This window comes from Homo sapiens, chromosome 1 (assembly GCF_000001405.40).
Source record: "Homo sapiens chromosome 1, GRCh38.p14 Primary Assembly".
NCBI classification, from domain to species: Eukaryota; Metazoa; Chordata; class Mammalia; order Primates; family Hominidae; genus Homo; species Homo sapiens.
Window position 1 is genome coordinate 78,620,162 of NC_000001.11, and position 27,240 is coordinate 78,647,401.

Genomic DNA, 27,240 nt, shown 5'->3' on the forward strand with positions numbered 1-27,240 from the left:
TTACTGCAGTTTCTTCTTGGTAGTTATCATTTCATGCCTGCCTACATACATACAAGGGGACCAGTGATAGTTTTTATGTGCTCAGCAAGATTTTTTTTTTCTTTCTTTCTCTTCCTAGTGAGGAAAAAGAAAGTTAGTGGCAGTTGGCATGCTGCCAGCTGAGTTTTTTTGCTGCTTTGAGTTTCAGGTTTCTTTCTTTCTCTTCCTAGTGAGGAAAAAGAAAGTTAGTGGCAGTTGGCATGCTGCCAGCTGAGTTTTTTTGCTGCTTTGAGTCTCAGTTTTCTTTCTTTCCTAGAGTCTCTGAAGCCACAGATCTCTTAAGAACTTTCTGTCTCCAAACCGTGGCTGCTCGATAAATCAGACAGAACAGTTAATCCTCAATTTAAGCCTGATCTAACCCCTAGAAACAGGTAAGCGACTTTTTAATTGAAACATAGTATTTGTACGTATTTATGGGGTTATGTGTGATATTTTGATACAAGCATACAATGTAATGACCAAATCAGGATCATTGGGAAATCCATCACCTCAACCATTTATCATTTCTTTGTATTTGGAACATTCCAAATTTTCTCTTCTAGCTATTTCAAAATAGACAATAAATTATTGTTAACTATAGTTAAACTGTTGTGCTATGAACACAAGAACTTATTCCTTCTATGTAGCTGTATTTTTGTAACCATTAACCAACCTCTTTTCATCATCTCCTTCCTCTGACTTTCCCAACCTCTGGTAACCACCATGCTACTCTCTGCCTCCATGAAATCAACTTTTATTTTAAGCTTCCACGTGTGAGTGAGAACATCACAGGTAAGTGACTTCTTGCCATCCAATTTTGCTAGCTGTGTGTGAAGAAAAAAGCTTGCTTTCTTTTTTTCTAAAAAGGAGTTTCAGAGTGGAATTGCTGCTAATACTTTGCTCTTTCATTTGTCTTTTATTTTAATGAAAATTTCACACACAGATAACTAGAGAGTATAAATGAACCATACTGTAATCTGATATAGTTTTATCCAATTTTAAAAATGATTTGCTTTTTAAATTAGAATAGTTTTCTTTTACTTAAATACAAAAGCATTACAAATAAAGTTGAAGAAATCTATGACTCTCTACTATATATTGTTTTCTTATGAGATGGAGTCTCACTCTATTGCCCAGGCTGGAGAGCAGTGTCTCGATGTCGGCTCACTGCAACCTCAGCCTCCTGGGTTCAAGGGATTCTTGTGCCTCAGCCTCCCAAGTACCTGGGATTACAGGCGTGCACCAGCATGCCTGGCTAATTTTTGTATTTTTAGTAGAGACGAGGTTTCACCATGTTGGCCAGGCTGGTCTTGAACTCCTGACCGCAAGTGATCTGCCAGCCTCAGCCTCCCAAAGTGCTGGGATTACAGGTGTGAGCCACCACACCTAGCCTCTCCTATATTCTTTACCTTTCTTTTTATTTCCAGAAGGCAACATTATCTAGACTTTGGTATAAATTATTGTCATAATTGTTTTTATGGTTTTCTGTATGTGTGTATATATTTATCTAAATATGATCTCTAGTATAATTTGTTAAAATTACTTCTGTTTTTATATACCAGCAAAAATGGTTTTACACAATAACTTAAAAAATTAATATACTTATATTAATTTTATTTTTATTGATACATAATACATTACATATTTATGGGGTACAGGTGATATTTGGTGATGCACTTAGAATGTGTAATGATCAAGTCAGGGTATTTGTGGTTTCCATCGCTTTGAGTATTTATTATTTCCATGTGCTGGGAACAACCCAAGTCTTCTAGCTACTTTGAAATAGACAATACATTGCTTTTGGCCATAGTCACTCTACTTTGTTGTTGACTAATAGAACTTCTACCTTCTATTTAACTGTATATTTGTACTCATTAACCTACATCTCTTCATCTCTCCCTCCTAGACACCCACCCACCCTTCCTAGCCTCCAGTATTTATCATTATACTATCCACATTTATAAGATCAACATTTTTAGCTGATCTAAAATGATGAGTGAGAACGTGTGATATTTCCTGTGCCTAGGTTATTTCACTTAATATTCTCCAGTTCCGTCCATGTTGCTGCAAATGACATGATTTTACTGTTTTTATAGCTAAATAGTATTCCATTGTGTAATATACCACATTTTCTTTATCCATCCACTTATGGACAGTTAGGTTGATTCCATATCTTTTCTATTGTTAATAGAAATTCACAATAGAAAGGTTGCTGTGATAAACCTGAGAGACACCAGAAGGAATTTTAACATATTGACCATACTAAACAATATTTAACATATTGATTGTATTCAGCTATCTTTTACAATGTGGTGTACAGACTCTAAAATAGCTCCTAATTGTCCCTGTCCTATTTTTTTTTTAATACTCATGTCCGTGTATAATCCCCCCTTGTCTGTGGATGGAAACTGTGACTTAACGGTAACAAATAGAATTTGGCAAATGTGATATGTTAAGATTATAATGTCTGCTATGCTAGGAGATTCTCTCCCTTGCTGGTTTCAATGAAGTAAGTGGTCATGTTGGGGAGGCCCATTTGGCAAAGAACTAAGGGTGACTTCAGGCCAATGACTAACTGAGAACTGAGGATAACCTCTGATCATTAGCTAGCAAGAAATGGAGTTCTCATATCTACAACCATAAGGAACTGAATTCTGCTAACAACCATAGGAGCTTGGAAGCATGTCCTTCTCCCGTTAAACATTCAGAAGAGTCTGCAGCTGTGGCTCGCACTTTGATAACTGCCTCATGAAAAATTCTGAAGCAGAGAACCAAACTGGATTTCTGACCCAGAGAAACTGTGAGACTATAAATGTGTGTTGTTTTAAGTCTCTAAACGTATGAGAAATTGCTATGCAGCAATAGATAAATAGCACACTAAATTAGTTAATACTATTACTTTATCGGTAGATGCTTTAAGGTTTTCCACATATAAGATAATATCATCTGTGAGCAGAGATGATTATACTTCCTTTATAATTCAGGTACCTTTTCCTTTTTCACTTTCTTTTTTATTTTGGCCTACTTGTTCTGGCTAGGACATTCAGTATTATGTTGAATAGAAGTGGTAAAAGTGGATAATCTTGTCTTGTACTTTATCTTAGAGGAAAAGCTGTCAGTTTTTCACTGCTGAATATGATGTTAACTATGAACTTTTTATACATGTATTTACTATGTTGAGGTAATTTCCTTCTACTCCTGGTTTAAGTGTTTTTTGTTTTTTTTTTTTTTTTTTTTTTTTTTTTTTAAATCATGGAAGGACTTGGGTTTTATCAAATGTCTTTTCTGTATCTATTGAGATGACCAATTTGTATTAGTCAGCGTTCTTCAGAGAAACTGAACCAACATAAAAAAAATAAAATTAAAAAAAAACTAAGGAAATTTGTTATGGGAGGTGGCTCATGTGGTGTTGGAGGGCGAGAAGTCTCACTATCTGCCACCTGCCAGATGTAAAGCCAGGAAAGCTGGTGGTGTAATTCAGTCTGAATCCAAATGCCTGAGAACTGGTGGAGCCAGTGGTGGAACTCCCAGTCTGAAATCAAAGTCCTGGGAACTGTGGGAACTGAGAGAGCTGGAGGTGTAAGTCCCAGAATCCGAATGTTTGAGAACCAGGAGCTCAGATATCTGAGAGCAGAAGAAGATGGATACTCCAGCTCAAGAATAGAGAATTTGCTCTTCCTCTGCCTTTTTGCTCTATTTGGGCCCTCAATGGATTGGATGATGTCAGCTCATGTTGGATCTTTTTTATGCAGTTTACTAATTCAAATGCTAATCTAAAATGTGTTTGTATATTCATTTGCCTCAACATTTCTTTTCTTTTCTTTTTTTCCTTTCTTTTCTTTTTTTGAGATGGAGTGTCTCTCTGTCACCCAGGCTGGAGTGCAGTGGTGCAATCTCTGCCTCCCAGGTTCAAGCGATTCTCCTACTTCAGCCTTCTGAGTAGCTGGGACTACAGGTGCACACCACCACACCCAATTTTTGTATTTTTGTATTTTTGTTAGAGACGGGGCTTTTCCGTATTGGCCAGGCTGGTCTCAGACTCATGACCTCAAGTGTTCCGCCGAACTCGGCCTCCCAAAGTACTGGGTTTACAGGTGTGAGTCACCACGCCTGGCCTCAAGATATTTTTAAAATTCCCTTTTGATTTCATTTTGATCCACTGCTTATTCCAGAGGGTGTAGTTTAATTCTCACATCCTTGTTAATTTTCTAGATTTTCTGATATTGATTTCTAGTTTCATTACATGGTTATGAGGAAAGACTTGATATGGTTTCAATCTTCTTAGATTTGTTAAGACTTGTTTTTTGACCTAACATGTAATCTATCCTGGAGAACGCTCCTATAATACACTTGAGAAGAATGTGTATTTTGTTGTTGCTGGGTGGAATGCCCTGTATATGCCTATTAGGTCCATTGGGACTATAGTGTTCAAGTTTTCTGTTTTCCTATTGATCTTCTGTTTGGATATTTTATAATGGATAAAGTATTGAAAGTGGGCTATCAAAATCTCCTTCTCTTATTGTGTTGCTGTTTCTCCCTTCAATTCTTTCAGTGTTTGCTTCATTTATTTAGGTGCTCTGATGTTGGATGAACATATATTTATAACGGTTATATTTTTCTGGAGAATTGACCCTTTTCTTATTATATGATGTCCTTCATAGCCTGTTATGACAGGTTTTGATTTAATGTCTATTTTGTGTGGGATAAGGACACACACCCCTTGCGGGTTATCTTGCGGTTCTTGCAGTTACCATTTGCAAAGGTACCCTTATTATCACTTGATTTTCATCCTATGTGTGTTCTTAAGTCTAAGTGAGTTCTTGGGGACAGCATGCTGTTGTATTTTGTCATGACATGCTTTGACTCAGTATTATCCTTCTTTCTTTCCTTCCTTTTTTTTTTTTGGTTTGCTAATATTTTGCTGAGGATCATTCCATCTATATTTATAAAAGAGATTGGCCTGTAATTTTTCTTGCTTATAACGCCATTAACAGGTTTTGGTATCTAAGTTATTCTCTGGAAGAACATGTGTAAGATTGTGTATTATTTATTCTTCAAAATTTGGTAGAATTCAGCAGCTAGACTCTGATCCTTGAGTTTTCTTGGGGAAGTCTTAAATTAATTATGAATTTAGTTTTTAAAAATAGCTATGAGATAGTCAAATTTTGTATTTACTTTTATGTCAGCTTTGGTAAGTTGTATTTTTCTAGAAATTTGTCCACTTATTCTCAAATTTAATTTTACAAAGTTGTTTATCTTCAGACCATTTTATCGTTTATCATTTATTGCATCTGGACTGATGTTTTCTCTTACGTTTTTGATTTTAGGACATTCTTTCCCTTTTTTCCCTTTATCAGTGTCAGCAGTGTTTTACAAATTTTGTTAATCCTTTTGAAAACTGGGTTTTGGTTTTGTTAATCTTCTCTATTGTATACTTGATTTGTCCATTAATATTTCTGTCCATTATTTCTTGCTTTTATTTTTATTGTTGATTTCTTTCTACTTACTTTGAGTTTAATTGGTATTTTTTCTGACTTTTTGAAGTGAAAGTCTATATAATTAATTTTCAGCCTTTCTCCATTTCTAATACATATGTTTAAACTTATATGATTTTTGTAACATTTTATCTTCATTGTATAAGTTTTAACAAGTATCTTTTGTCATTTAATTAAATTTCATTATGATTTCTTATGTGAATAATGGATTATTTCAAATTATATTTTTTATTTTCCAATGTATGAGGGGATCTACTAGTTATCTTCTTGTTAAAAAAATTCTGGCATATACTGTCTGTTCAATATTATAGTACTTTGAAAATTTTTGAGACTTGCTTGCTTTTTAAGGTTTGTAGAATATCTCTTCTATATTCTTTTTCTTTTATTCTTGTTTTCTGGTTCATATATCTTAACTAATTTTACTGTATCCTTTAATCCCTTTTGCCCTTTTCTCTTTTTATTCTTTTTTTGTCTCAATACTTCAGTTGGTAAATTTTCTTCTAATTCTTTATGCCTACCTTGCAGTTAAATGTATTCATTTAATTATTAATTTCAGATATATATTTTTACATAGCAAATCTCTTTTTGACTTCTTATTGTATTCATTTTACTGTAAATCATTCAATCTTACCTTTTAGCTGTTTGAACATATTAAACATAGTAATTTAAAAATCTCTATGGGTAACTCCAGTATAAGTATGTGTTTGTTTCTAGTGTGTGCTTTTTCCTCTTGGTTTTCTATCATGTTGTTTCATTTACCTCCAAACATGAATGTGTTTATGATGAATGAGAGTCACTGAATATTTAAAAAATCATAGAGATATTTTGAAGCTGGAAGAATGTTCTTTTCATCCAGACAAGATTTATTTTGTTTCTGCTATGCAGCTATGGACACTAGCAATTCTCATTTACCTTAATTCAATCAAGGACTGAGAATACTGAAGTATGAAATTAACTCTGTCTGCTTCCAGTTCATACTTCTTCCCTGTACCTCTTTTCTTAAATTTTTTTTAAAATTTTATTTCAACAGCATTTGGAGTATAAGTGGTTTTTTTTTACGTGGATGAATTATATAGTGGTGAATTCTGAGATTTTAGTGCATCCATCACTCAAGTAGTGTACATTGTATCTAATATGTAGTTTTTTTTAATCCCTAGCTCCTCTTCCATCCTCTCCTTTCTGAGTCTCTAAAGTCCATCATATCAGTCTGTATGCCTTTGTGTACTCATAGCTTAGCTCCCACTTATAAGTGAGAGCATATGGTTTTTGGTTTTCTCTGTAGCTCTTTAGAATCCCAAACTGTAGCCTAAGGGAAAGGTTTCCAAGGTGCTCTCCTTATTGCACTCCAAAGTATGATTTTTATCTCCCTAACTCTATGAATCTAGCAAACACTTTGCTTAACTTTTCAGCATCTCAAGTGCCTTTTCTGAATTTGACAGATACACGTCAGAAATGTGCTCCCAAATGCCTAGCTTATCTCTCTTTATTAACTTCTCCAAATCTTTGCCAATAGCTATATGTCTTAACTGCCTTGTTTGCTCTTTAGAGCTTTGTAACACATGCATTTTTATAGTTTATTCTGCTTTTCAAGTTTTTTTCATTGAAATAATTCTTGTAATGACCAATAGTCTAGTATGCTGCTGTAAGACTTCTATAGCTGTTAACTCCTTTCATATTTCAATTTCTTTATGTGCTGTTTTTTGCAAGAATTCCTAGGCTCCATTTTCTAATTCATACGTTGGCAAATGATGAATGTGATATGACAATGATGACCTCTGTTCCAGCCATATACTTTTTTAAAGAAAATTTTATTGGAACACAGTCATGCTCTCTTGTTTACATATTATCTATGACTTCTTTTGTATTACAGTGGCAAAGTTGAGTAATTGTGGAAGAGACCATATGGCCTACAAAGGCTAAAATATTTACTATCTTGTTCATTAAGAAAAAATTTGCTGACTCTTATTGAGATTTATTTTTCCTTTATTCAACTTTCTGAAGTTTGTCAATTGATTTAAAAATTTTAATGACTTTTCCTTTCTAAATTATATATTTTTATATCTAACATTATTGTGCCATTTCTATATTTTTGCTATATTTTTTGCCTTAACCAAACAATGTGTTTTAATTGAGTCAGTGAATAAAGAACTCACTGAAAGTAGAAGTGGAAACCTAAGCTATAAGCTACTATATTATATAAGCTTCTCAACCTATAATTGTTTTTCCATTAGATATAGAACAATGGAAGTGACAACAAGATTGACATGGAATGATGAAAATCATCTGCGCAAGCTGCTTGGAAATGTTTCTTTGAGTCTTCTCTATAAGTCTAGTGTTCATGGAGGTAGCATTGAAGATATGGTTGAAAGATGCAGCCGTCAGGGATGTACTATAACAATGGCTTACATTGATTACAATATGATTGTAGCCTTTATGCTTGGAAATTATATTAATTTACATGAAAGTTCTACAGAGCCAAATGATTCCCTATGGTTTTCACTTCAAAAGAAAAATGACACCACTGAAATAGAAACTTTACTCTTAAATACAGCACCAAAAATTATTGATGAGCAACTGGTGTGTCGTTTATCGAAAACGGATATTTTCATTATATGTCGAGATAATAAAATTTATCTAGATAAAATGATAACAAGAAACTTGAAACTAAGGTTTTATGGCCACCGTCAGTATTTGGAATGTGAAGTTTTTCGAGTTGAAGGTTTGTAAAATTAGATAATCCTACATCTCACATTATGATTCTAATCCTTGTGTTCGGTAGGTAATAATTGATCTACAAGAGCAAGGAAAGTGAAAGGAACAGTTAGATTCATGCCATACTCTTTGATAAATTCTGAAATGAAACGTGGGGAACATAAGGATTATGAGGTTTTTATCCAGAACGTATAGGCTGCTTTGAGCAAAGCAAGTTGAGAAATATATGTGCAGAGATAGAGATGACAAAGGAGATGGGGATGTGGAGAGAGAGAGATCTTATCATCAGAGCTGCTCTGTTTTGACATATGACCCAAAGATCAGACCCTTATATGACCCTTAGAACTTCTAGGTGTAATTATGTGAGAGCTTCCAGAGCAAGTTAATGTGCAGAGAGGATAATTTTTCCTCCTCTTCCTCTCATGTTGCCAACTCTGACTCCTAACTGAGCAGCTCAGCCCTGGGTTATGCAAGAAAACTCCATGTCTTATTTCAAAAGTAGACTTGGCCACATTTAACCAAACAAGTTTTAAAAATGTATTATGCTATGTTTATTTCCTATAGGAATTAAGGATAACCTAGACGACATAAAGAGGATAATTAAAGCCAGAGAGTAAGTTGGATTCTTGGGCTATCTATTAATCATTTTATTTAGACCAATTGTATAAAGAATGCTGACAAATATGTGGTAAAGATAAAAATCATGCCACTGGAATGATTAAAAAAGAGTTATAATGTTATTGACATAAAATAACAAAAGCACTACTAACTATGAAACTTTAAATATCCACCTGATGACATTGACCAATTTGACTTCATTTCCACTTTAGACCAAAATTTTCCAGGTAGGGTCTGGATAACCATTTTAGGTAATTTCTCTGAATCCTTTCCTTGAGAAACAGCTTTTGAGAATCCTCAGTAAATGTCAAAAACAAACTTTCTTTTTAAATTTATAGATAGCTACATTGCATATATTTTATTTTGATTTCTCCTTAATGTACTTTTAGTGAAAATAATAATTTATGTTCAATGTCACTGATATTTCTTATTACATTCATGTGATCTAAGACTAATAGTTGAAAAATGGTTTGGTTGCAGGTTAATATTTAACTTTAGTCAGATATAAAATAATGCATTTTCTTTAAGCACAAAATGTATAACTTTAGATATTTCAAATCATATTATAGAAGATCTCATTATCAAAATAATAATTAAGTATTGAAAAAATACCCTTCTCAGGGAAGAGAAAGAAGCTCTAGGTGACTTGAGATGTTCTTTATGGTATTCTTTATTGGCTGTTCTGATGCTGTATTTAACCACTATATTTTAACAGGCACAGAAATAGGCTTCTAGCAGACATCAGAGACTATAGGCCCTATGCAGACTTGGTTTCAGAAATTCGTATTCTTTTGGTGGGTCCAGTTGGGTCTGGAAAGTCCAGTTTTTTCAATTCAGTCAAGTCTATTTTTCATGGCCATGTGACTGGCCAAGCCGTAGTGGGGTCTGATATCACCAGCATAACCGAGCGGGTAAGTTATTTCCCTGAGGATTTTATTTTATAGATTACAATTATTATATTGCTTATGTCTTTGCCTTTTTCTCTTAGGGCAATCCTAATATACAATTAAATGCTAAATCAAATGGAAAATAGGAGTAAAATTTTGATCAGAACCACCTCCATTGTGCTATATTATACAGAGAAGCTTTCAAATTTTATGGATGGAAGAAGCAGTTATATAAAGAATACTTTTTAGTATTTGTATAAAAAACAACAAAAAATTAAAAACCCTATGAAAATCTTTGACCATTATATATGATGTTCATTTTACTCATGTACTACATGATTTTACCTGGTTTAAAATGTTTTTCTTTTTTTGTAATAAAATAATGAGAATTATGTAAGGTAATTTTTTTTAATTACGAGACCATTCTCTAAGACATGGTCATGAAAAGCAAAATAGCAATTCACTTTGGTGGGTCAACTTTGAAGGAGAACTTGAAGTGTAAATCTTACAAAAACTATCTTATTTACAAAAAGATATACATAAGGAAATAAATAGTAATATAGATTTCTTAATTGTTGCTCTAAAGAACTACAAATTATGATGCAGCACTTGTCTAGAAAATTCTTTCTTGTTTATGCTTTTCAATGTTATCATGCACATGCAATCAAACAAAAAATAATAAAGGGAAAGAATAGAAAATTTTAGAATCAGGCTTTTTTAATGATTACCACAAATTAATATTGTCACTTGTTAGGGAATATGCTGTGTATTATCAATGCAAAATTTAGCATAAGACAGCATAATAAGACAGTAATGGTTCATTTTAGCTTTTGTGTCACATTCAATAACTGGAAGAATTTTCTAGGACTTTCAAGAATCACATCTTATTTGTTGATGTTGGCCAGATACTGTGCTCTTGAGTGGCTTTATTTTAATATATTAGTGTAGTCTCAGAAGCCGTGGCAAGGTACGGCAGCACAAATTAAATTAATTAGGCATTGATTGAAATGTTTCTGTTTGCTAAATATTTATTCAGACATAGAGACCTAAATACAAATAATGCTTGGTCCCATTACCCAGATATCTCAGAGACCAATGCAGATAATAAATCTGTATCATTCATTGTGATATATGCTATAATAGAGATACTACTCAGGACAAAATTTCTCTTTCTTCCTTTTAAGTTTTAAATTCCAAAGGTCTTATTTTAAGAGAAGATGTAGATACTGAACTCCAATGAAATGCAAATGTTATTTAAATTGAAGAAATATAGGGCAGACTTTTATGAGGGAAATTGAATATTTTATTGCTTAAAAGACTCTTTCCTTTGAATAATTGAAGTTGTAAAGAAAGCAAATTAATGGGTAAGGAAACTAGGAAGATGCATATTGGTGTTCCTGAAATTTTACAATGTACTTTAACTCTAGTGCTTAGTATAATTTCTTTCATGTTGAGGCACTGGTAAGTCCTATTCTCCTAGATAAAAATCTTCAGTGGGATTACGCCTCTGCGTTTCATGGCCCAATGAGAGCTTTTGATTTTATTACAGATTACAATAAGTCATAGACTGTTCTCTCCCTTCTGGTTTGAGTGATACTACACCCTTGCCAGCACCACAGATGGAAAAATTGTAATTAAAGTGTCTCTGAGAAATCCTTTTCTTTGCAATCTTCCCAAATCGTCCATATTTTTTTGTGTATGTTGAATGTATATCTGACCATCAAATAAAATACTTTCAGAATTGTTCTAGAAAATATCCTTGCAATAAGATTGAATGTGTTTATCTAGGAAAGAAAGTTCTGTTGTGCTTCTCAAAGTGAAATTTGTGGACCCCTTGGGTTCCCGGAGACATTTTAAGGGTATCTCTGTGTTCAAAACTATTTTTAGAATTATTCTAAGTTTTTTTTGTCTTTTCTAGTGTATTGACACTTGAATTAATTACACAACATAGTTTTACCTGTTGGCACATTAGTATGAATCAAACGGTGGCACCAAACACTACTAGTAGTCACTGTATTTCTCCCAATTACTGCACTTACAGGAAAAAAAATGCCAGTTTTACTCCTTGATGAATAGTAACAGTTATTGGTTTTATTTAAACTCCACTTTGGAATACACATCATTTTGATATTCAGTGTGATAAAATGGGAAGTGCTCATAAAGTACTTCTAATGCATATTGAAAATTGGCAGTTGTCTTTAGAAAAAGCACTGGAGCAGCTGAGTTGTTAACTGAACTTTTTTTAAATGTGACATCATTTTTACTGGACAGCACAGACTTACTCATTCATACTTGGATATTTGGCAGGTATCTTAATGCAAATGCTCAAGTGACCCTACTAATAAAGAACAAAAACAAAAACTGACAGTGTTTGTTGCCAATAACAAAATTTGAGCTTTTGAGAAAAATCAAACTTTGAGAAACCTGTATTCACTATTCTGAGCCTGACAGCTTTTCAACACTTAAAGACTTATCCAATGAAATTAATGGTGGTATTAACAAATGTGATGTTTTAATATTGCATGATGAAATGTGTCAACATTAGGAAGATCTGGATAACCCAGTGGACGAATGTTTTAAGATGATCAATAAATTAGGTTAAAAAATCATGCATGAGTAAAGGATATATTCAAAGTATAAGACAAACCAATGGATTTAATGTGGCAGCATATAAAAATGTCGCAGATTCCACATTGCAACTAACCTTTAAGAAGTTATTACTTGTTGAGCTTTGCTATATTACATTGAGGAATATTCACAATTACCTGAAAGCTATACAGTGAAATATTACCTCCTTTTCATATTATACATACATGTGAGAGGCCATATTTTCTTCACATACTTCAATTGAAACAACATATCAAGAGATTGAATTGGAGCCACATATGAGATTACAGTTATATTCTTTAATCCAGACATTAAAGAGAATTTTACTAATAAACCAATGATTTCTGTTTTCTGTAAATTTTTAAAAAAATGCTTTTTAAGTAAAAAATGTTATTTGATGAACATGTGACAGGTTTATAATTGAATTTTTAATGATTAAAACAACACTTAAGAGCAGGAGGGGCAGAGCAAGATGGTCACATAGGTCTCTCCAGCAATCATTCCTCCACTGAAACATCAATTTGAATAATTATTAGCACACAAAATATCACCTCAGTAAACCAGGTGAAAGATTACTGTACCTAGTTCTAGCACAATAATAACAAAAGATACATTGAAGAGGGTAGGAAAGATAGTTTTACGTTATCTGCATCACCCCCCTCAACCCCAGGGAGCATAGTGTGGAGAGAACTGTCATCTGCTTTGGGGAAAAGAGGGAAGTGAGCACAGGACTTTGCCTGGACTCCAATATCAGGCCTACTGCAGTAAAATCCAGCACTGGATAGAACCTCATGGCCCCAGACTTTAGGCTGTTATTTGACGGCTGAGCCTCTAGCCCCATGCTGGTGCCAAGTGAGACCATGTGGCCCTAGGCTTCAAGCTTGCATGGTGGACTCAGTCCCTGGACCACACCATGGATGGGTTATTAGTGGCCCAACCTCTGAACAGCACTTAGTGACACGGATGCCGCAGTGGCCCTGAGCTTTACGCATGCCTCAGTGCTGCACCAGTCACAGTGGTCCCAGGCTTTGGGACTATGCAAGGCAGCCTGCCCAGAATTTTTGGATAGGCTGATTGTTGAAGGACTTTTCCAGACAAAGGCAATCTGCAAAGATTGGAATAAGTACCTACTTCCAGAGATGTTTATACATTGACACATTGTCACAAGAGTCAAAAGCAATCAGGGTAACATGACGTCAGTAAAGAGAGAAAATAACGTGCCAGTGGCCAATCCTAAAGAAATGGAGATGTATGAACCACCCGAAGAATTCAAAATAATTATTTTAAGGAAGCACAGCAAACTTCAAGAAAATACAGAGAAACAATTTAACAAAATGAGAAAAATGATGAGTGATCAGAATAAGAAATTTAATAGAAAGGTTGTAATAATTATAAAAAAGAAACAAATTTCAGAGATGAAAAATACAATGGGTGAAATGAGAAATGAAATAGAGAGCATCAACAGCAGAATTGATCAAGTAGAAGAGTCTGTGAACTTAAAGGTAGGTTATTTGAAAATATAGATAGAGAATAAAAAAACAGAATGAAGAGGAAGGAAGAAAGCTTATGGGATTTATGGGACATCATCAAAAGGACAAATATTCAAGTTACAAGGGGGAAAGGAGACAAGAAATTAAAAGTAATAGAAATCTTAAGTAAATAAATAGTAGCAAAAAACTTTTAAAACCTGGAGGATGATGTAAATATCCAGGTAAAACTGAGAGAAAAGTCCCCAGTCAGATTTAATCCAAAGAAGATTAACCCAAGATATATTAAAATCAAACTGTAAAATATCAAAGACAAAGAGAGGATTCTGAAAACTGGAAGATAAAAAAGCAAATAACATATTAGAAAGTTTTAATATGACTAGCAGCAGACTTAGCAGAAACTCTGCAGGCCAAGAGAGTAGGATGAAATATTCAAAGTGCTAAAAGAAAAAACAAAGAAACAAACAAACCCATCCAATTGAGAATATTATACCCAGTAAAGCTGTGCTTCAGAAATAAAGGAGGGATAAAGATTTTCCTGGATGAACAAAAGCTGAGGGAGTTCATTACAATTATACCTGTCTTACAAGAATGTTAAAGCGAGTTTTTCAAGCTGAAAGAAAAGGATGCTAATAAGTAATATAAAAATATCTGAAAGTATAAAACTCACTGGTAAAACTACAGTAAAATTCAGAATACTCATACTATAATGATGGTGATGTTTAAAAGACAAAACTGCTAAAATAATAATAGCTATAAGATTTTGTTAAAGGACATGCAATATGGAAAGATGTAAATTGTGGTATCAAAGGTGCAAACTGTGGGGAGGAGTGGAGTAAAAATGTGGAGTGTTTTTTTTTTCTCTGTAAGTGGAGCTGTTATTAACTTAAAATAACCAGTTACAAATATGTTTATTTTTTGTAAGCATCATGGTTAAGCACAAAACAAATACTGATAGTAGATACACAAAATATAAAAAGCATGGAGTCAAAACATACCATTATATATATATATATGTGTGTGTGTGTGTGTGTGTATGTGTATATATATATATATATACACACACGTTTTACATGATAAATTACATAGAAATTTCTTTTTTAATTAAAAAGGAATATTTACATTTTTTTCAGTTGTAATTTCCACTATTTTAAATATCCATAGATATAACCCACATAAACAACAGATCTTTGGGATTCTCAATAACTTTTAAGAGTCTAAAGGGGTCCTGAGACCAAACTGTTTGAGGACCATGGTGTTCAAATATTAACCAATCTCTTTTCTTCTTATTGTCATGTCTTGAATGCTGGGTGATGAATGAACCTTTACACTTAATGTATTTTTTTAACAGTATAGGATATATTCTGTTAAAGATGGAAAAAATGGAAAATCTCTGCCATTTATGTTGTGTGACACTATGGGGCTAGATGGGGCAGAAGGAGCAGGACTGTGCATGGATGACATTCCCCACATCTTAAAAGGTTGTATGCCAGACAGATATCAGGTAAGATTTCTTCAATATCCAAAACATTTCAAATCATTTTCTTCAGTATTTTTCATTGAATTTTTAACCACATAAGGCAATTTCAACTCCCATAATGTGGTTTCAACATCAATCAACACTATTCTACTTTGAATGAATAAGAATTCATATGAAAAAGTAGAGTGACTATTGTTCTTTTCTGTAACATTGAGAAATAAAGCCAAAAGGCAGGATTCTACTCATTTGCATTCTAGTAAAAGATCAAGGAGATAGTGTGTTTTTATCACTCTTTACAATAATGTAAACTAATGATAGTCACTTAATCCCTTGCACTTTTTGGGTTACATAGACAAAATATTGGAACAAGTAACTATTTTGTGTTGAAATGTCATTTTATACTGTAAATGCTTAGATTTCACCACTAAATACCTAGATTCAAAATTTGGCTTTGCTACTAACAGATGTTTACCCGTAAGTTGCACACTTCTCTCTCTCGGTCTTTTTTTTTTTTTTTTCAGGTGTGAAATATTGCTATTAATAGTGTCTATCTCATAGGGTGGCTAAGATGATTAAATGAGATGATATAGTTTAAGTTCTCAAAAAAGCCAACAATGATTGTTACCTTTCTTTTAGGTGTTGGGTATCAGCCTCAATTTCTAAAGAAGAATCTCTTTTGCCTCCCAATTGTGCTGAATTGGAAACCTTACCTATGTATTTATTTATTCATTCAAAAACCATCTATTATAAACCATATTTGTGCCAAACTCTAAGCCAGTTACTGAAAACACATAAGTCAATAACAGCACAATCCTTATCCTCCAGGAGTTCATAATCCAGTCAGGGAAAAGGAGACACACAGATAAAGAGAGGAGGGATAGAGCGAAGACATTGGAGAAATCAGGAGCATACCAACACCCTAATTTTTCACAGCAGGGAGCCAGTCAATTCAGTCCAACACTGAAATACATAGCTTAATAACTACATGTTTCCAAACCATTGTTTCATAATCTATTTCCTTAATCTTAGAAAGATTACTGTCTTGTGGTAAGAAGACATTAACTTCAAATTTGGTATTTCTTTTATTTCACTTTAGTTTATTTTTCTTCTATAAAATCAAAATAAATTACAGTCTTTTAATTTAAATAGCATTTTCAACATATTTTTCTTTCTTTTATTCTCTCTATCCAGTTCATTTAAGCATGCAAAATGCTTAGGGAGGAGTCTTAAATTGTATTTAACAAACGTTAATGGTGTTTATTTCTGGATACTAGGATTTGAAATTAGCTTTTCAAAAATATTATTTAAACTTTCCTGCAATACTTACAATGGATAATTATCATTTTTACCAAAGCAATAAAGTGTTTTTTTTCCTATAAGAGAGATATAATGGCATTATGCTCACAGTGGAAAGGAAGTAAAGAGGAGGTGCTACTGTTTGGGGAAAGAGTAGCTGAGGAGAAAGAGGGAGATCAGTAGTTACAGTATTAGAAGCATTAATTGTGTCTTTAAGGGTTAAACAGAGGCTCTCTGATTTCTGAATGTTACCTTATGTTTTTATAACAGTTTAATTCCCGTAAACCAATTACACCTGAGCATTCTACTTTTATCACCTCTCCATCTCTGAAGGACAGGATTCACTGTGTGGCTTATGTCTTAGACATCAACTCTATTGACAATCTCTACTCTAAAATGTTGGCAAAAGTGAAGCAAGTTCACAAAGAAGTATTAAACTGTGGTGAGTCTCACTGAACTTATAAAAAAATTTACTTTGAAATAATTATAGATTTGTAGGAAGTTGCAAAGAGAGTACAGAGATTTCCCATGTACCTTTCATCCTATTTCCCTGGAGTGGTGGCCATCGGAGGGAGAGATCATTCACAGGCATGACTGAAGAAAGACCCCAAATCCTAATGTTCAGTCTTTAAAGAATAGACTGGCCAACCATTTTTTTTTCGTGTGTGATTTTCCTGAGGCTTTAGATAGGGCTAAAACCTATGTGGGTAGACAGGGAAGATCGAAACCAGAAAATTGATTATTGTTAACAATGTGTGTTTATAGTTCTATGTCATTTTATCACATGTGTAAGTTTATGTACCCATCACTGCAACCAAATATTACATCACTTTGTAGATTTCCCTCATGGCACCCACTATTCCTCCACCATCCTTAACTCTTGGCAACCACTAATATTTTCTTCATTTCCATAATTTTGTCATTTCGTGAATGTTATACAAATGGAATCATACAGTATGTCACCTTTTGAGACTGGCTTTTTTGACTCAACCTAATATCCTTTGACATCCATCCAAGATGTATGTATGTATTTATTGTTCATTTAAAAAATTGTATAGTATTCCATGGTATAGATATACCACAGTTTAACCATGCTCTATCAAAAAATATTCCAGTTTTTAGCTATTGCAAACAAAACTCCTATCAAGTTTTGTGTGGATATAAGTTTTTATTCCTCTGGGGTACATCTCCAGAAATGTAATGCTGGATCATAAAGTAACTGTATGTTTAGCTTTGAAAGAGATCACCAAACTATACTCCAGAGGGACTGTACCATTTTACAATCCCACCAGCAATACATGAGAGATCTATTTTTTCTGCATTCTTGCTAGTATTTGGTATCGTTGCTATTAAAAATTCCTTAACTCTTCTAATAGATGTATGCTGATATTTCATCAGGGTCTTAATTTGCATTGCTTAATGACTAATGACATTGAACATCTTCTCATGTGCTTATTTGCCTTCTGTATAGCTTGTTTAGTGAAATGCCTCTTCACGTCTTTTGATTATTTTCTGATTGGATGATTTGTGTTTTTTAGAAGTTGAATGTTAAAAGATCTATAAATCCTAAATATGAGTCAATTGTCAGATACATTGTTTGCGGATAGTTTCTCCCAGTCTGTAGTTGTCTTACTATTATGATGATTTCCATCCCTGCCATCTCTCATCTCTCCTTTTGGAACTCTGGGACATGAATTCTAGATATTTTGTTATAGTCTCACAATTTATTTATTTATTTTTTATATCTATTTGCTCTTTATTTTTCAGAGTGGGTAATTTCTATTGTTATATCTTTGAATTCACTTGTTCATCACTTTGCCCTCTCCATTCTGCTTTTGAGCATAGCTATTGTTTTTCCTATCTTGGGTATTATGGTTTTTTAGCTCTAAAATTTCAAGTTGATTCTTTTTCAGGTCTTCTATTTCTTTGCTGAGACATCCCACTTCCTTCATTTGTTTCAAGAATGTTCCTACTTGGTTCTTAAGCATTTTTATGATGGTTGCTTTAGAATCCTTGCCAAATAATTCTAACATCTTTGTCATCTAATTAGGGTCATGATCTTCTGATTAGCTTTTCTCATTCAAGTTGAGAATTTCCTGGGTTTTGATGTGACAAATGATTTTTAATTGCATCTTCGATATTTTAGGTACTTTATTTTATGACTCTGGATCTTACATCTTGTGTTTTAGCAAACATATTCTGATACTGGTAAGATGGAAAGTACAGGTTTCCCATAAGGCCTTGTTTGACACCCTTGGAGAAAGGGCACTTTCTTACTGTGCCCCATATAGGATACCCTGACATCACAGGGGCTAGAAGCCTCCTTGCATCGAAGGTTAATGAAGGCTAAAGTTCCAGCTTCTCACTTGTTCTCCTCTGACACTTCCAGAGAGGGAAAAGAGCACCTCATTGCTGCTGATTCGGTGGAAGTCTAGGATCCCCAAGTAGCCTCCCTTGACACCATCAAGAGGGACCTTGTTAGTATAGTGCAGGTATAAATGTCCTGGCTCCCTACATTTTTTTCTTCTCTTATACTACCTTGGCTAAGGGTGAAAGTTGGGAAAGGGAAGGACATATCCATGGATAGGGCTAAGGTGAATTCTGTGGTGTTTGACTGGGGTAGTGTGGCTATTTTCTGAAAGTTTTCTGTCTTGCTACACTGTCCTTTTTCTCATGCTTTGACTAGATGAAACTAGTCAACAGCAAAAAAAATTTTCCTTTTTGCTGGCTCTAATTTGTATTTTCCAGTTGTGAGTGTCTCCAAAAGCCAATCTGGGACATATGAAGTAAAAAGAAAACCTAGAGAGCTCATCTCTGTATTGTTTCTTGGGTCTCAAGGTCTCTAGCCAAATTGCATTATCTGCACTTTTCAATCTTTATGTTTGATTTATGCATAATGTCCAGAGATTTTAGCTACATTTAGTGTAAAGAAGAGGGAAAAGTGTGTCTACTCCATTTGGTCCAGAACTGGAAGTACTCTCACTGAACTTCCAAAAGATTTTAATATAAAGAATTGTTGGGGCATTTATACTCCAAAGCCTCGTTGCTTACTTTATCAGTAGAAAGATCACATATTTAGGTTCCGAAAAGTGCTATGCCGTTTAATGTATAGAGCATGGTCTTGCTTAAGTGAACCTAGTTTTTAAATAGTAGTAAACTTTGACCTCGAGAAAGGTAATTTAATTGCTCTGAACTTTATCTCCTGTTCTTCTAAAATGGGGATAATAAGTTTTGCATCTGAACTTAATAAACTGTCTAACAAAAGTCTGAGTAGTGAACATTAGATATACACAATGTAAATATATAAGCTTATATAAGTACTTAACAGCTCTAAAATTATGGAGGGTTTGGGGTAAGACAGAAATGCTAAGTTTTAAAATGACTTTTCAAGGATGTATGGCAACACATTGTCCTTGGCGTGCTGGATGGCAATGCTTAATGCAACTTAGTGTGCTGACTTAGGACCTCTAAAAGGACATTGTATTAATTTTGAAACAGAAGAATTACATTGCAACAGAGGTTGAAAAAAATTATAGGTGTCAACTGAGAACTGCTCTCTACCAGAACCTAGGTATTAATTGGCCAACTTTGCTAGTTATTCCTCTGAAACCTGAATGAAGAGAAGGTAGTAAAGGAAATCATTTAGTAATGGAAAAAATAAACACAAGATTTTAGTAGGAAGAAGGTACTAAAAGCCCTGTTAAAAGAGTCCTGGGAGCTTCCTTGACTGGCATTTGAAATTAATCTTATATTTTCCTCATAAGCAGTTGTTAGCATAGCAGAATTTTGATTTGTTTAGAAGTCAAATGTGATTTACTAATTCAATCCCTGTGGTTTGAGGGAGAAAGGAGTAGGTCCCTATTAGAACTGTGAAATCAGTACAGTTTGCTCTCATAAATGCTCATACACAACCCTCCTCACTTCCTCTTTTTCTTGTGGTTCTTTTTAGTCCCCAAAGTCCAGCAACCCCTTTTTTCCCCTTGACCAATTTAAAACAAACCATTTGAATGGAATCGTAGATGATTGCAATTTAGTGTGGATTTAGTTGCATTGAAAAATGCTGTCACATGTTGGAAAAAAAAGATCAAAGATCATTTCTCCTCTAGAAAAGCTTCAGGCTCCATATTGAGATGTATTGGGGATATTTCATTCTTCAGCTCTCAAAATCACCCTATAGAGTTGCCTTCACACATATTTAATAACTTGTTGACACATTGCTATTTATGATATAAAATAACTGATTTATCTATTTGATATAGGTATAGCATATGTGGCCTTGCTTACTAAAGTGGATGATTGCAGTGAGGTTCTTCAAGACAACTTTTTAAACATGAGTAGATCTATGACTTCTCAAAGCCGGGTAAAAAATGCTGATCATAACCAGATATTATTGTAATAGTATCACAATCATACGTGTGTGTGTTTGTGTGTGTCTGTACGTGTATATGTGCTTACAGAGTGTATTTGCAGGGAAATGAAGAATGGGATCAATTGCTTGATTAATTCAAATTTATATCACACTTTAAAACTGCAATGATCTGAATTATTGTATGTTCCGAAGATAACTTATTAAGCCATTGCTTTTTTGGTTTCTTTCTTAAATTGTATTTAAAATTGGTCAAATTTCAAATATTAAATACAGGACTTACACTTTTTAAATATACTTTCCACAGGTCATGAATGTCCATAAAATGCTAGGCATTCCTATTTCCAATATTTTGATGGTTGGAAATTATGCTTCAGATTTGGAACTGGACCCCATGAAGGATATTCTCATCCTCTCTGCACTGAGGCAGATGCTGCGGGCTGCAGATGATTTTTTAGAAGATTTGCCTCTTGAGGAAACTGGTAATCTGGCCCTTTTCTCCCCCTGTCATAGATCACTGGTGCCTTTTGAAAAATCCTAAGTTATACATCAGTTATTAGATGACTGGGGCCCACCTGCATGCCCTAGTCCTGAAAGCTACATTAGGATATATGTTTCATTTCCACTCTTGTTTGTTTCATTTTCAGGTGCAATTGAGAGAGCGTTACAGCCCTGCATTTGAGATAAGTTGCCTTGATTCTGACATTTGGCCCAGCCTGTACTGGTGTGCCGCAATGAGAGTCAATCTCTATTGACAGCCTGCTTCAGATTTTGCTTTTGTTCGTTTTGCCTTCTGTCCTTGGAACAGTCATATCTCAAGTTCAAAGGCCAAAACCTGAGAAGCGGTGGGCTAAGATAGGTCCTACTGCAAACCACCCCTCCATATTTCCGTACCATTTACAATTCAGTTTCTGTGACATCTTTTTAAACCACTGGAGGAAAAATGAGATATTCTCTAATTTATTCTTCTATAACACTCTATATAGAGCTATGTGAGTACTAATCACATTGAATAATAGTTATAAAATTATTGTATAGACATCTGCTTCTTAAACAGATTGTGAGTTCTTTGAGAAACAGCGTGGATTTTACTTATCTGTGTATTCACAGAGCTTAGCACAGTGCCTGGTAATGAGCAAGCATACTTGCCATTACTTTTCCTTCCCACTCTCTCCAACATCACATTCACTTTAAATTTTTCTGTATATAGAAAGGAAAACTAGCCTGGGCAACATGATGAAACCCCATCTCCACTGCAAAAAAAAAAAAAAAAAATAAGAAAGAACAAAACAAACCCCACAAAAATTAGCTGGGTATGATGGCACGTGCCTGTAGTCCCAGTTACTCAGGATGATTGATTGAGCCTTGGAGGTGGAGGCTACAGTGAGCTGAGATTGTGCCACTGTACTCTAGCCAGGGAGAAAGAGTGAGATCCTGGCTCAAAAAAACCAAATAAAACAAAACAAACAAACGAAAAACAGAAAGGAAGACTGAAAGAGAATGAAAAGCTGGGGAGAGGAAATAAAAATAAAGAAGGAAGAGTGTTTCATTTATATCTGAATGAAAATATGAATGACTCTAAGTAATTGAATTAATTAAAATGAGCCAACTTTTTTTTAACAATTTACATTTTATTTCTATGGGAAAAAATAAATATTCCTCTTCTAACAAACCCATGCTTGATTTTCATTAATTGAATTCCAAATCATCCTAGCCATGTGTCCTTCCATTTAGGTTACTGGGGCAAATCAGTAAGAAAGTTCTTATATTTATGCTCCAAATAATTCTGAAGTCCTCTTACTAGCTGTGAAAGCTAGTACTATTAAGAAAGAAAACAAAATTCCCAAAAGATAGCTTTCACTTTTTTTTTTCCTTAAAGACTTCCTAATTCTCTTCTCCAAATTCTTAGTCTTCTTCAAAATAATATGCTTTGGTTCAATAGTTATCCACATTCTGACAGTCTAATTTAGTTTTAATCAGAATTATACTCATCTTTTGGGTAGTCATAGATATTAAGAAAGCAAGAGTTTCTTATGTCCAGTTATGGAATATTTCCTAAAGCAAGGCTGCAGGTGAAGTTGTGCTCAAGTGAATGTTCAGGAGACACAATTCAGTGGAAGAAATTAAGTCTTTAAAAAAGACCTAGGAATAGGAGAACCATGGAAATTGAGGAGGTAGGCCTACAAGTAGATATTGGGAACAAAATTAGAGAGGCAACCAGAAAAAGTTATTTTAGGCTCACCAGAGTTGTTCTTATTGCACAGTAACACACCAATATACCAAAACAGCAGGTATTGCAGTAGAGAAAGAGTTTAATAATTGAATGGCAGAAAAATGAGGAAGGTTGAGGAAACCTCAAATCTACCTCCCTGCTGAGTCTAAGTTTAGGATTTTTAAGAGAAAGGCAGGTAAGGTGCTGAAGGTCTGGAGCTGCTGATTTGTTGGGGTATAGGGAATGAAATGAAACATACAGAGATGAAAACTGGAAGTTTTTTTTTGTTTGTTTTGTTTTTTTTTTGTTGTTGTTTTTTTTTTTTTTTGTTTTTTTGCTGAGTCAATTCCTTGGAGGGGGTCTTCAGACTGACTGGTGTCAGCAGACCCATGGGATTCCAAGATCTGGAAAACTTTTTAGATAGAAACTTGATGTTTCTTAACGTTACATATATTATCTTATAGAAATAACTAAGGGAAGTTAGTGCCTTGTGACCACATCTATGTGACTTTTAGGCAGTAAGAAACTATAAGGAAAGGAGCTAACAGTCATGCTGTAAGTAGCTACAGGGAATTGGCTTAAAGGGCAAGTTGGTTAGTACTTAGCTGTGTTTTTATTCAAAGTCTACATTTTATGTAGTGGTTAATGTTTGCTGTTCATTAGGATGGTTTCACAGTTACCATACAAATGTAGAAGCAACAGGTCCAAAAAGTAGGGCATGATTTTCTCCATGTAATCCAGGGAGAAAACAAGCCATGACCATTGTTGGTTGGGAGACTGAAGGTGATTGAAGGTTCACCATCATCCTCACCAACTTTTGGGCCATAATTCACCCAACCCTTTGGTGGAGCCTGAAAAAAATCTGGGCAGAATGTAGGACTTCTTTATTTTGTTTAAAGGGGTAACACAGAGTGCCCTTATGAAGGAGTTGGAGATCCTGCAAGGAAGAGAAGGAGTGAAGGAGAGATCAAGAGAGAGAAACAATGAGGAACATTTCATTTGACCCAACATCCTTTAGGAGCATAAATGTTGACACTAAGTTATCCCTTTTGTGCTAAAATGGACAGTATTGGCAAAATGATACCACAACTTCTTATTCTCTGGCTCTATATTGCTTTGGAAACACTTAAACATCAAATGGAGTTAAATACATATTTGAAATTTAGGTTAGGAAATATTGGTGAGGAGGCCTCAAAAAGGGGGAAACATCTTTTGTCTGGGAGGATATTTTCCATTTTGTGGATTTCCCTGATCTTTTTCTACCACCCTGAGGGGTGGTGGGAATTATCATTTTGCTACATTTTAGAGGTCATCCAGGATTTTTGAAACTTTACATTCTTTACGGTTAAGCAAGATGTACAGCTCAGTCAAAGACACTAAATTCTTCTTAGAAAAATAGTGCTAAGGAGTATAGCAGATGACCTATATGTGTGTTGGCTGGGAGAATATCATCTTAAAGTGAGAGTGATGTTGTGGAGACAGTTGAAATGTCAATGCTAGAGCCTCTGTGGTGTGAATGGGCACGTTAGGTTGTTGCATTAGAAAGTGACTGTTTCTGACAGAAATTTGTAGCTTTGTGCAAACTCACCCACCATCTACCTCAATAAAATATAGAGAAAAGAAAAATAGAGCAGTTTGAGTTCTATGAGGTATGCAGGCCCAGAGAGACATAAGTATGTTCCTTTAGTCTTGCTTCCTGTGTGCCACACTGCCCCTCCACAACCATAGCTGGGGGCAATTGTTTAAAGTCATTTTGTTCCCGACTAGCTGCCTTGCACATTATCTTCATTTTCCTGGAATTTGATACAGAGAGCAATTTATAGCCAATTGATAGCTTATGCTGTTTCAATGTAAATTCGTGGTAAATAACTTAGGAACTGCCTCTTCTTTTTCTTTGAAAACCTACTTATAACTGTTGCTAATAAGAATGTGTATTGTTCAGGACAACTTGTCTCCATACAGTTGGGTTGTAACCCTCATGCTTGGCCCAAATAAACTCTCTACTTATATCAGTTTTTCCTACACTTCTTCCTTTTAGGTCAACAATACCAAGAGGGGTTACTGTGCTGGGTAATGTGTAAACTTGTGTCTTGTTTAGAAAGATAAATTTAAAGACTATCACATTGCTTTTTCATAAAACAAGACAGGTCTACAATTAATTTATTTTGACGCAAATTGATAGGGGGGCCAAGTAAGCCCCATATGCTTAATGATCAGCTGATGAATAATCATCTCCTAGCAACATAACTCAATCTAATGCTAAGGTACCCACAAGATGGCAAGGCTGATCAAAGTCGTCATGGAATCCTGCAACCAAAAGCCATGGGAATTTGGAAGCCCTCAAATCCCATTCCTAATCTGATGAGTCTATGGACCAATTTGTGGAGGACAGTAGATTAAATAGATCTGATTTTTGCCATCAATGTAAGGAGGATAAAAACTTGCATACCAATTGTACACCCTTGCAAAATCTTTCTCTGATGTTGGAGAAAATGGGCCAGTGAGATCATGGATATAGAAGTACAGTCAATGTTCAGCTGTACCCTCCCACAATCCCACTTCCTTCCTCAACACAATTCAAACAAATAGACTCAGACTGTTTCAGGCTCCAGGACAGGAAGTGCAGTGTAGGCAAAATTGCAAAAATTGAGGGCACAGGGGTGGAGGTGGGGGGGTTGAATAACAAGCTGTGCTAAATAATTACGTGTAAATATATTTTTTCATTTTTAAAAATTGATTTCTTTTGCACATTCCATGACAATATATGTCACATTTTTAAAATAAATGCAAAGAAGCATACATCCAAGCCACTGAGCTCATTTGTCTTCTGTTTTGATAAAGTGGTAAAGAAGGAACTAACATGGGAATGCATTGCTACAATTTAAATAAGCATACCAAGATAAATTCATTTATGGTGCTTTGAGTATATGAGACCCTCTTCTACCAGACAGATGATCAGTGTTAGATTTATAGAGAAGGGATTATCAAATTCCCATGGCCAAGAAGGTCAGAGAGAGAGAAAAAAAAAAGTGATTCATGTGCATGGTAGAATTATAGACATATCAAATGGACACTGTATTAGTCCGTTCTCATGCTGCTATAAAGAACTGCCCAAGACTGGGTAATTTATAAAGGAAAGAGTTTTAATTTGACTCACAGTTCCACAGAGCTGGGAGGCCTCAGGAAACTCACAATCATAGTGGAAAGGGAAGCAAACATTTTCTTCTTCACATGGTGGCAGGAGAGAAAAATGAGTGCCTAGCAAAGAGGGAAGCCCCTTATAAAAACCATCAGATCTCATGAGAATTAACTCACTATGACAAGAACAGGATGGGAGAAACTGTCTCTGTGATTCAATTATTTCCACCTGGTCCCTCCTACAACAAATGGGGATTAAGGGAACTAAAATTCAAGATGAAATTTAGGTAGGGACACAGCCAAACCATATCATTCCACCCCTGACCCTTTCCCAAATCTCATGTCCTCACATTTCAAAACACAATCAAGCCTTCCCAACAGTCCCCCCAAATATTAACTATTTTCAGCATTAACTCAAAAGTCCACAGTCCAAAGTCTCATTGGTGACAAGGCAAGTCCCTTCTGCCTATGAGCCTGTAAAATCAAAAGCAAGTTAGTTACTTCCTAGATACAGTGAGGGTACAGACATTGGGTAAATACATCCATTCCAAATGGGAGAAATCGGCCAAAACAAAGGAGCTGCAGGCCCCATGCAAGTCTGAAATCCAGTTGGACAGTCAGAGCTTAAAGCTCTGAAATGATCTCCTTTGAATCTATGTATTACATCCAGGTCACGCTGATGCAATAGGTGGGCTCTGAATGCTTTGGGAAGCTCTGTCCCTGTGGCTTTGCAGGATACAGCACCCCCCCACCCAAGCTGCTTTCACAGCTGGCATTGAGTTTCTGCAGCTTTTCTAGGCACACAGTGCAAGCTGTTAGTGTATCTACCATTCTGGGGAATGAAGGACAGTGGCTCTCTTCTCACAGTTCCACTAGGCAGTGCCCCAGAGGGGACTCTGTGTGGGGGCTTTGATCCCACATTTT

The 27,240-nt window shown here is 34.9% G+C and overlaps 1 protein-coding gene across 7 annotated transcripts, besides 3 other annotated features; it reads left to right on the top strand.

Annotated features, from left to right (window-relative positions):
* Positions 1-340: an enhancer, noted in NCBI's record as "active region_1234". NCBI's record gives its function as "activates an Ori minimal core promoter by ATAC-STARR-seq in GM12878 lymphoblastoid cells {active_cell/tissue: GM12878}" and the evidence as "EXISTENCE:reporter gene assay evidence [ECO:0000049][PMID:35858748]".
* On the top strand, positions 287-25,984 carry IFI44L (interferon induced protein 44 like). Of its 7 annotated transcripts, NM_001375646.1 has the most exons (10): positions 287-410; positions 783-810; positions 7,745-8,232; positions 8,790-8,838; positions 9,559-9,754; positions 15,176-15,328; positions 16,871-17,042; positions 20,860-20,960; positions 21,274-21,448; positions 21,614-25,984. In NM_001375646.1, the coding sequence occupies exons 3-10, from the start codon at positions 7,755-7,757 to the stop codon at positions 21,646-21,648; spliced, it is 1,359 nt and encodes a 452-aa protein (NP_001362575.1). In that variant the 5' UTR covers positions 287-410; positions 783-810; positions 7,745-7,754; the 3' UTR covers positions 21,649-25,984. The 7 variants fall into 7 exon arrangements, with proteins under 7 accessions (NP_001362575.1, NP_001362579.1, NP_006811.2 ...); NM_001375650.1 differs by lacking the exon at positions 7,745-8,232; NM_006820.4 differs by lacking the exon at positions 783-810.
* Positions 1,150-1,309: an enhancer, noted in NCBI's record as "active region_1235". NCBI's record gives its function as "activates an Ori minimal core promoter by ATAC-STARR-seq in GM12878 lymphoblastoid cells {active_cell/tissue: GM12878}" and the evidence as "EXISTENCE:reporter gene assay evidence [ECO:0000049][PMID:35858748]".
* Positions 3,505-3,724: an enhancer, noted in NCBI's record as "active region_1236". NCBI's record gives its function as "activates an Ori minimal core promoter by ATAC-STARR-seq in GM12878 lymphoblastoid cells {active_cell/tissue: GM12878}" and the evidence as "EXISTENCE:reporter gene assay evidence [ECO:0000049][PMID:35858748]".
* Positions 25,985-27,240: the final 1,256 nt, after the last annotated feature.

What these genes read in the sequence shown, in the direction of transcription:
- IFI44L (NM_001375646.1), top strand. Translation starts at nt 7,755, where the DNA reads ATGGAAGTGACAACAAGATTGACATGGAATGATGAAAATCATCTGCGC. An exon ending in GTATGCCAGACAGATATCAG is followed by an intron (nt 15,329 to 16,870) that starts GTAAGATTTCTT and finishes TTTTTATAACAG; the next exon opens with TTTAATTCCCGTAAACCAAT. An exon ending in CAAAGAAGTATTAAACTGTG is followed by an intron (nt 17,043 to 20,859) that starts GTGAGTCTCACT and finishes TATTTGATATAG; the next exon opens with GTATAGCATATGTGGCCTTG.